The sequence below is a fragment of the Homo sapiens genome, chromosome 7, assembly GCF_000001405.40.
Source record: "Homo sapiens chromosome 7, GRCh38.p14 Primary Assembly".
Taxonomy (NCBI): domain Eukaryota; kingdom Metazoa; phylum Chordata; class Mammalia; order Primates; family Hominidae; genus Homo; species Homo sapiens.
Genome location: NC_000007.14, coordinates 75,140,106 through 75,150,686, shown reverse-complemented (window position 1 = coordinate 75,150,686; position 10,581 = coordinate 75,140,106). Strand labels below are relative to the sequence as shown.

At 47.0% G+C, this 10,581-nt stretch overlaps 1 protein-coding gene across 2 annotated transcripts in view; it reads right to left on the bottom strand.

The window, feature by feature from the left end:
* Window positions 1-869: 869 nt before the first annotated feature.
* GTF2IRD2B (GTF2I repeat domain containing 2B) overlaps window positions 870-10,581 on the bottom strand; it is a 57,262-nt gene continuing 47,550 nt past the window's right edge. For both annotated transcript variants that reach the window (NM_001003795.3, NM_001368302.1), the window contains exons 13-16: window positions 9,501-9,584; window positions 8,022-8,205; window positions 6,709-6,737; window positions 870-2,993 (exon numbers count right to left, since the gene is read on the bottom strand). In NM_001003795.3, the coding sequence (NP_001003795.1) occupies window positions 1,390-2,993; window positions 6,709-6,737; window positions 8,022-8,205; window positions 9,501-9,584 (1,901 nt within the window). In that variant the 3' untranslated portion in view covers window positions 870-1,389. The remainder of the gene's footprint in view (window positions 2,994-6,708; window positions 6,738-8,021; window positions 8,206-9,500; window positions 9,585-10,581) is intronic.

The following is a 10,581-nucleotide window of genomic DNA, read 5'->3' as shown; positions in this document are numbered from 1 at the left end:
TTCCTGACCTCAAGTGATCCACCCACCTTGGCCTCCCAAAGTGCTGGGATTACAGGTGTGAGCCACATGCTTGGCCACAACTTTTCGGTAACTATTCATAGTAAAAAGCAAACAAAAAAACCCCTCTAAACCTTAACTTACTTTGTCTAACTTTTATAGACAAAGTCTACGTTATTTGCTCTGGGGTTTTCCATTTTAAACCTGACCTTTCTGGCTCTGGGTTTTTCCATTTTAAACCTGACCTTTCTGGTTCCAGGTGAAGGCAGAGACAGATAACATAGGATTATTGTATGTCAGTATGTTTTCAACTATTTCTCCTGAAACTTGGAAACATATTAGACCATGTGGGATACCACGCGGACGGGAACGGGGGATAAATGTGTGTTCATATATACTCCTCCACAAATATACATGTCTCAGGCTGGGCGCAGTGGCTCACGCCTGTAATTCCAGCACTTTGGGAGGCCAAGGCCGGCAGATCACTTGAGGTCAGGAGTTTGTGACCAGCCTGGCCAACATGGTGAAACCCTATCTTTACTAAAAATACAAAAATGAGCCGGGCGTGGTGGTGGGCACCTGTAACCCCGGCTACTCGGGAGGCTGAGGCAGGGGAATCACTTGAACCCGGGAGGCAGAGGCTGCAGTGAGCCCAGATCGCCCCATTGCACTCCAGCCTGGGTAACAGAGTGAGACTCCGTCTCAAAAAAAGAACCCCCAAAACCAAAAAGCAAATATACACGTCTCTCTCCCTATTTCTCTGTTGATTGATTTAAACTTCAAGATGCCAACTACAGTGCCTATCAGGGTGGCAGGCAGGTAATGTGAATGAATGAAACAAGCCAGGCATAAGAAAAGTCAACTACCAATAATACAATAAAACTTTCTTGATTTTTAATGAATAGTGAGGCATACAATGTAATATAAACAAGTATGATACTGCAGATTATATTTCTGATTCAAAGTGGAAAAAAAACTGAAAAAAAAAAAAAGTTTAAGAACTCATTTTGTCAGCTGGGCACAGTGGTTCATGCCTGTAATCCCAGCACTTTGTGAGGTCGAGGCAGGTGGATCACCTGAGGTCAGGAGTTGGAGACCAGCCTGGCCAACATGGTGAAACCTCATCTCTACTAATACAAAAATTAGCCGGGCATGGTGGCGCATGCCTGTAGTCCCAGCTGCTCGGGAGGCTGAGGCAGGAGAATCGTTCGAACCCAGGAGCTGGAAGTTGCAGTAAGCCGAGATCACGCCACTGCACTCCAACCTGGGCGACAGAGCAAGACTCCATCTCAAAAAAGAAAAAAAAAATTCATTTTGTCATCTCCCAATCCCTTGGGACTAGAAGACTCCAGCCTTTCCCACCATAGGGCCCTGCCAGGAGTTTTCTCTCCATCACGTTGCGATGTGGAGTACAGAATCCCACTGGGAATCCTTTAACTGGGAGCAGTATTTTGTTTTGCTCAGTTTCATAATGGAGAACAGCTGTTCGCAGATGTAGGTGCTCCCGAACATGGAAAGAATCTTTGCGCAATGGTGCTTGTATTTCGGGTAGCTACCCCAGAGGTACTTGTAGAATTCTGGTATTCCCACCTTGTCGTATTTCGTCTTCAGGACCGTGTTGCATTGCAGGTCGATAACCTCCATCTGGAGCTCCTCGTGCACACTGTCGATCTTCGTGGAGAACGGGGAGCTGAACAGAGTCAGTTCGCTTTCGTAGAGTTTGAAATCAGACAGCCTTTTCTGGAATTCGGTCTTGAGTTCCGCGATTTTGGGAATGTAGTTCAGGCCATCGCTTTCATTTCTGGAAACCAATTTCAGGGTGGGAAAGTGGGCCAGATTATTCCTCGTCAAATGAGTCTCCCAGAGGCACAGTTTTGCTAGGAACGCCCGGATCAGGTCATACATCTGCGTGACGATTTGGGAGTGTCCTTGGAGAGAGATGTTCAAAGCGTTCAGATGCATCGTCATGTCAACCAAGAAGGCCAGGTCTCGGATCCAATCTATGGAGCTCAGTTGAGGCAGGGGTTTCCCTCTGGATGACATGAAGGAGTCGATTTCTTCCAAGGATTCGAAAAATCTCTTTAGCACGAGCCCGCGACTGAGCCACTTAATCTCCGTGTAGTACAGGAGGCTACCATACTGGCTGTCCAGCTCATAGAGCAAGGTTGTGAACTCGCTGTGGTTCAGTCCCCGGGAGCATATCCAGTTCACGGACTTCACTACCACGTCCATGACGTGGTCCATCTTCAACTTCTGAGCACAGAGTGATTCCGGATGAATTATACAACAGATGGACTTCAGTTCCGCACCCTTGCAGAACGTCGCCACCCTGGACTTCAGTTTTGTGACAAGCCCGTTATTGGCATCCACCATCGCTGGGGTGCCAGTGGAGGCCACGCTTACTAATCTCGACCAGTTGATACAGAACTTTTTCAGGCTCTTCTCAACACGCAAAAAGATCTCGTTGCCAGATTTTGTACCCGTCATGGGCACCGTGTCCAGAAGTTCTTCGGACACATCGAAATTCTCATCGACACCACGGATGAATATGGCCAACTGGGTGGTATTATTTATATCCGTGATCTCATCGATTGCGATAGAATATGCCACAAAAGACCTGATTTTTTCACGTAACTTCTCCCATAAGTTCCCAGCTAGGTCCTCTACAGGCTGCACGGGGGATTTCTGGGTTGGACTTGGGTTTGCAAACACTTGTTTTTGCTCGGGACACTCGGTGTCTGACGAGCCTAAGAGATACTTCCTGAGCCCTTTTTTCAGCTCGTGAAGCTTCTCGTCACGCATTCTTTCCGTATACTGGTCATAATGCTTGCTGTGATTGGTTTGATAGTGGCGTCTTAGGTTATATTCTTTGGACACAGACATGCTTTGTTTGCATATGAGACATGTTGGAATATTCTGTACTTCCACGAAGAAATACGCTCTCTCCCACTTTTCTTGAAACACACGGCCCTCCTGGTCTATCTTGCGTTTTCCCACTTTTGACAGAGACAGGGAGACAAAGATATTTCACTTTTCTCTTATCACTACTATGAGGAAAACAACAGCAAATGCTTGATGACGCACGAGAGGGAGGAAGCGGGGCGGGGCAGGGCGTGGTTAACAGGAGGGTGACCCACCCTGCAGAGGGACGGCTGACCCTCAACTCCAGCAAACCGCTGCCAGGACGCCAGCTGTGGCCAGATCTTCAAGTTTTCTAAAGAAAACCTGAAGACTGAATTTTTGTTGTCGTTGTTTTTGAGACGGAGTTTTGCTCTGTCGCCCAGGCTGCAGTGCAGTGGCGCAATCTCGGCTCACTGCAACTTCTGCCTCCTGGGTTCAAGCGATTCTTCTGCCTCAGCCTCCTGAGTAGCTGTTATGACAGGTGCCTGCCACCACGCCCAGCTAATTTTTGTATTTTTAGTAGAGATGAGATTTCACCATGTTGTCCAGGCTGGTCTCGAACTCCTGACCTCAGGTGATCCGCCCACCTCAGCCTCCCAAAGTGCTGGGATTACAGGCATGAGCCACTGCACCCAGCCAGATCTTCAGGTTTTCTAAAGAAAACCTGAAGATTGACCTTTATGAAAGAGTGCCTGGTTTGTGGTGATAATGGCTCATTGCAGCCTGGAACTCCCTGGGCTCAGGTGATCCTCCCACTTCAGCTCCCAGTTGCTGGGACTACAGGCATGCACCACACCGAGCTATCTTTTCTTTCTTTCTTTCTTTTCTTTTTTTCTTTTTCTTTTTCTTTTTTTTGTAGAGCTGGAGTCTTACCTTGTTGCCCAGGCTGGTCTGAAACCCCAGGCTCAAGCGATCCACCCGCCTTGGCCTCCCAAAGTGCTGGGATTACAGGAGCCACCGTGCCAGGCCTCATCCTTATTTTCAAAAGTACATGAGCCAAACAAAAGACACCTTTGATGAGGTTCAGCATGTAGCTGTGCTTGTTATGTCCAGTTTAAACAGGAATTATTTGATAATATGTTTGCATTTTCTTTTTAGAGACAGGGTCTTGTTCTGTCACCCAGGCTGGAGTGTAGTATTGCAATTATGGTTCTCTGCTGTCTCAAACTCCTGAGTTTAAGTGATCCTCCTGCTTTAGCCTGCCAAGTAGCTGGGGCTACAGGTGTGAGCCACTGTTTCCAGCTAATTTTTAAATTTTTTGTAGAGATGGGGTCTTGCTATGTTGCCCAGGCTGGTCTCAAACTCCTGGCCTCAAGCAATCCTCTTGCCTTGGCCTCCAAAAGTCCTGGGATTATAGGTGTGAGCATTTTAATATATTTTCTCATTTGATTCCCAAGAAAACTTTGTAATAACAGAGATGGGAATGAGCACAGAAAGGCATATGATTTTTACCTACTGTGAGTCTCAAATGACAAGGGTGACGGCCACAGAACCACACAAAACTCATTCGTATAAGTGTGTTCGAGTGTACAGGGACTAGTGTTTTAGATTTAAAGAACCTGGCCACCCTGCAGGTAATCAAGGTATTTCCAGAGTACACACACATAAAAGTGCACCTTAAGAAAATGTAGGCCATGTACAGCGGCTCATGCCTATAATCCCAGCACTTTGGGAGGCTGAGGCAGGAGGATCGCTTGAAGCCAGAAGCTCAAGGCCAGCCTGGGAAACATAGTGAGACCCTGTCTCTACAAAAAAAAAAAAAAAAAAAAAATTATCTGGGCATGGCAGTGCTGTCCCAGTTACTCGGGAGGTGAAGGTGGGAGAATCACCTGAGGGCAGGAGTTCCAGGCTGCAGTGAGCTATGATCATGCCACTGCACTCCAGCCTGGGTGACAGAGTGAGACCTTGTCTCTAAAAAACCCCAATAATAATACAATAAATAAATAAAGATATTATAAAAGATCAAAAAATCATTTAGCAATCAGATGCGTTTGGGAATAAAAATGGAGCATTTTAATAGGATACTTTGGTTTTCTTTTCTTTTTTTTTTTTTTTTTGAGACAGAGTCTTGCTCTGTCACCAAACTGGAGTGCAGTGGCACGATCTCAGCTCACTGCAACCCCCGACTCCCTGGTTCAAGTGATTTTCCTGCCTCAGCCTCCCGAGTAGCTGGGATTATAGGCACGCGCCACCATGCCCGGCTAATTTTTGTATTTCTAGTAGAGACGGAGTTTCACCACGTTGTACAGAAGGGTCTCCATCTCCTGACCTCATGATCCGCCCGCCTCGGCCTCCCAAAGTGCTGGGATTACAGGTGTGAGTCACCGCGCCCAGCCTACTTTGGTTTTCAAATGTTACATTAGGAGGTTCCCTGGTGACTCATGCTCGTGAGAACACCTCTCCGTATTCTACTTGACAGGATACTGACTCACTTGCAAGGGCTCCGGGGAAGACATTAAGAATATTTAACAGGGTGGGGGCGGGGGGAGGGAGAGCATCAGGAAGAATAGCTAATGCATGCTGGGCTTAATACCTAGGTGATGGGTTGATAGGTGCAGCAAACCACCATGGCACACGTTTACCTGTGTAACAAACCTGCACATCCTGCACATGGACCCTGGAACTTAAAATAAAAGTTGAAGGGGAAAAAAAAGAGAATATTTCAGAAGCAGAGTGCCTGGGCATTGCTCAATCAGAACAGATGCTGAGCCAGGTGCAGTGGCTTACATCTGTAATCCCAGCAGTTTGGGAGACCAAGGCGGGTGGATCACTTGAGGTCACGAGTTTGAGACCAGCCTGGCCAACATGGCTAAACCCTGTCTCTACTAAAAAATACAAAAAGTAGCTGGATGTGGCGGCACGCACCTGTAATCCCAGCTAATCGGAAGGCTGAGGCAGAGAATCGCTTGAACCCGGGAGGCGGAGGTTGCAGTGAGCCGAGATCTTGCCACTGCACTCCAGCCTGGGTGAGAGAGCGAGACTCTGTCTCAAAAAAAAAAAAAAAGAAAAAAAAAAGAACAGATGCTAGTCTCAGCACTGGAAGGGTTCTAGGGGCCTCTGCTGTGCCAGGTGGAACCCCTTTTGCTTCAGCACTGTAGGGAGGTCAAGCCACGGTCGGAGGGTACTAGGGTGGGACTGCATGGCCAGGCAGGCACTATTTACCAACTAACACAGAGGAGATCGGTACTGTGATCCTGAGTGCAGCTGTGCGGGTGGCCTCAGGGGAGCCCCCACCACAAAGCACACTTGAATAGTGTGCCACATCAGCCATGCGTGGTGGCTCATGCCCGTAATCCCAGCACTTTGGAAGGTGGAGGCGGGCAGATCCCTTGAGGTCAGAAGTTCAAGACCAGCCTGGCCAACATGGCAAAACCCCATCTCTACTAAAAATACAAAAATTAGCCAGGCGTGGTGGCACACGCCTATAGTCCCAGCTACTCGGGAGGCTGAGGCAGGAGAATCACTTGAACCCGGGAGGCGGAGGTTGTGTGGTGAGCCGAGATTGTGCCATTGCACTCTAGCCTGGGTGACAGAGCGAGACTCCGTCTCCAAAAAAAAAAAAAAGAGTGCGCCACATCACACGTCACACTCATGGTGTGATATAGATCACTCTCCTTCAGACTGGTTAATCAAACTCAAGTAACAGAGTTATCTAACTTTATCACATGCAGGAAAAATAAAGCATGCATCGAAGGCTGCATACTTGGGTCCCAGGCTCACGGAAGCAAAAACCCCGTGGTGAGCGCCCACCAAGACACTTCCCATGGCCCAACATTGCCGGAACGTTCTTCTCACCTGTAGAATACTCACCATTACTGAGCTCAAGCCCTGGAAGCGGCCTGAAGAGAAAGACACATTGATAAATGTGACAAGCTCACATTTCCTCTTTTGCCCACTTAGTTTTATTTTTTTTTAATTTTTACTTATTTATTTTTTTACAGAAGAATATTTATTTATTTGTTTGTTTTGTTTTTGTTTTTTTTGAGACAAGAGTCTCGCCGCGTCACCCAGGCTGGAGTGCAGTGGCGCGATCTCGGCTTAGTGCAACCTCCGCCTCCTGGGTTCAAGCCATTCTCCTGCCTCAGCCGCCTGAGTAGCTGGGATTACAGGTGCCCGCCACCACGCCCAGCTAATTTTTTGTATTTTTAGTTTCACCATGTTGGCCAGGCTACTCTTGAACTCCTGACATCAGGAGATCTACCTACCTTGGCCTCCCAAAGTGCTGGGATTACAGGCATGAGCCACTGCGTTGAGCCTTTTGTTTTTGTTTTTTTTGAGACGGAGTCTCACTCCATCACCCAGGCTGGAGTGCAGTGGTGTCATCTGGGCTCACTGCAACCTCCACATTCCAGGTTCAAGTGATTCTCCTGAGTAGCTGGGATTACAGGCACGTACCACTACACCCAGCTAATGTTTATTTTTAGTAGAGATGGAGTTTCACCATGTTGGCCAGGCTGGTCTCAAACTCCTGACCTCAAATGATCCACCTGCCTCAGCCTCCTAAAATGCTGGGATTACAGGCCTGAGCCACCATGCCCGGCCTATTTATTTATGTTTTGAGATGGAGGCTCATTCTGCTGCCCAGGCTGGAGTGCAGTGGTGCCATCTCAGGTCACTGCAACCTCCACCTCCCAGGTTAAGTGATTCTCACGCCTCAGCCTCCTGAGTAGCTGGTATTAGAGGCGCACGCCACCACACCCGACTAATGTTTGTATTTTCAGTAGCAACGGGGTTTCACCATGTTGGCCAGGCTTGCCTCATACTCCTGACCTCAGGCGATCTGGCCCGCCTCAGCCTCCCAAAGTGCTGGGATTACAGGCGTGAGCCACCGTGCCTGGCCCCACTTAGTTTTATTGGACAAATTTTTGCAGAGTATTAACTCTACGCTAGGTGCTGTGTGAGCTAAAACTGGGACGGGCTGCCCATGATCACCGAGGAACAGGGACATGGACACATCTCAAGGAAGCAGAAGATGATGAAGTCAGTGTGAGAGGCAGCATGGCCCAGCGGTCAGCTGCGGGAACAAACCCCCAGCCCAAGTCATGGGACAGACATTCCTGGGCAGCCACATGCCCACCTCGGGCAAGTCAGAGTCTCCAGATTCCTTCTCTTGACTCACTTACCTGATGACTGTGAATTTGATAAACTCAGCTGCCTCCAAGATCCTCCTCATGGAACTGATTTCCAGATAGCCGGGGGCCTTGAATACCACCCCCGGGGGCATGCCATCAATCACCACACAGCCAGGGTTGAATGTGATCTTCCTGTAGGGAACTTTCACAGGGAAATCCACGCCAATTGCTTCACCTGTGACGGGATGAGCAGCATAAAACCAGCTGAGTTTGGCTGGGCACGGTGGCTCACACCTGTAATCCCAGCCCTCTGGGAGACTGAGGCGGGTGAATCACTTGAGGCCAGGAGTTCGAGACCAGCCTGGCTAACATGGTGAAACCCTGTCTCTACTAAAAATACAAAAATTAGCTGGGCGTGGTGGCGCATGCCTGTAATCCCAGCCACATGGGAGGGACCCAGGAGGCAGAAGTTGCAGTGAGCCGAGATCGCCCCACTGCACTCCAGCCTGAGAGACAGAGCGAGACCCTGCCTCAAAACAAAACACAAAACAAAACAACAAATTAAAAAAACAACAACACAAATAAAACTAGCTGAGTTTGTTCCTTACGTTTCCTAAACCAGGATTTATCTTTAATGTCAGGATTTAGAAGCATCAAATGACAATACTTATGATCAGTCATTTTATTTTCCAGTGCTACTATGATGTGTGAATATAATTTTAAAAGTTTGGAATTAGCATGGGTAGTAGGCAAACTCAGTTCCTCCATCCATTACACAGGGTTATCATGGCGCCTACCTGAAAGGTTTTATGTGAGGATTAAATGATCAAACACATGTTGAGCACAAAAAATAATATACAAGGTAAGCACTCAGTAAAACAAAGATAGCTATTATTATTATTATTGTAATTAGTCAATGATACCATGCAAAAGCTCTTCTGTAAAAAGACATATTGACTAATTTTTATCATAGCTCTTTCACAAAAAGATCAATTTCTTTTTTTTTTTTTTTTTTTGAGACAGGGTCTCACTCTGTCGCCCAGGCTGGAGTGCAATAGCGCGATCTAAGCTCACTGCAACCTCTGCCTCCCAGTTACAACCGATTCTCGTGCCTCAGCCTCCTGAGTAGCTGGGATTACAGGTGTGCGCCACCACACCCGGCTAATTTTTTTGTATTTTTAGTAGAGATGGGATTTTGCCATGTTGGCCAGGCTGGACTTGAACTCCTGGCCTCAAGTGATCCACACACCTTGGCCTCCCAAAGTGCTGGGATTAAAAGTGTGAACCACTGCGCCCAGCCAAGATCAAATTCTTATAAGATAAAGTTTTGTTTTTTTCCTTTTGTAGACCTGGGGTGTCACTTTGCTGCCCAGGCTGGTCTCAAACTCCTGGGCTCAAGTGATTCTCTAGCCTTAGCCTCCTAAAGTGCTAGGATTACAGGTATGAGCCAATGCACCTGGCCAAGTATTCTTTTAAAAAGAAGTATTTTAGGTATATGAATTCTGGATATAAAAAGATATAAAAACTTACCAAATTTTCGGCTAAAGAGGTCATTAACTTGTTCTCTTAGCTGTTTAATCTTTTCAATGCTTGATAATCTTTCCTTCTCATTATCTAAAAATAATTAAACAAATAAACAAACCAAGGTTATTAATGTATTTTCTCCCAAGAAAGCTGTTGGGAGAAATGCCTGTTAGCACCCGAGAAAGTGCTTTACCTGGATTGTTATTCAGTCTACTTTTAGCAATAATTAAGCATCTTGGAAATTTGGAAATGGAAGCCATTACAGACAATAGAGAATTTTCCAAATTATAACCCTATATAAACATACTACATACTACTTTTAAGGAATATTTTCAATATCATACAAGACAAGGATGTTTAGGGCCAGGCGCGGTGGCTCACGCCTGTAATCCCAGCACTTTGGGAGGCCGAGGCAGGTGGATCACGAGGTCAGGAGATTGAGACCATCCTGGCTAACACGGTGAAACCCCGTTTCTACTAAAAATACAAAAATTTAGCCGGGCATGGTGGCAGGCGCCTGTAGTCCCAGCTACTCGGGAGGCTGAGGCAGGAGAATGGCGTGAACCCAGGAGGCGGAGCTTGCAGTGAGCCGAGATCGCGCCACTGCACTCCAGCCTGGGTGACAGAGCAAGACTCCGTCTCAAAAAAAAAAAAAAAAAAAAAAAGACAAGGATGTTTACTTTCACCACCACTTTTCGGCCTTAAAATAGAAATCTTAGCCAATGAAATATGACAAGTAAAAGGAATAAGAGGTACTAGGATTAGAAGGTAAGGTATATTTTTATTTTCTTTCCTTTTTTTCCTCTCTTTTTTTGTTTGTTTGTTTTGTTTTGTTTTGTTTTGAGGCTGAGTTTTGCTCTTGTCACCCAGGCTGGAGTACAATGGTACAATCTTGGCTCACTGCAAACTCCTGGGTTCAAGCAATTCACTGCACCCCTCCTGGGTTCAAGCAATTCTCCTGCCTCAGCCTCCCAAGTAGCTGGGATTACAGGCACCCACCACCACACCAGCTGATTTTTGTATTTTTAGTAAAGATGGGGTTTCACCATGTTGGCCAGGCTGGTCTCGAACTCCTGACCTCAGGTGA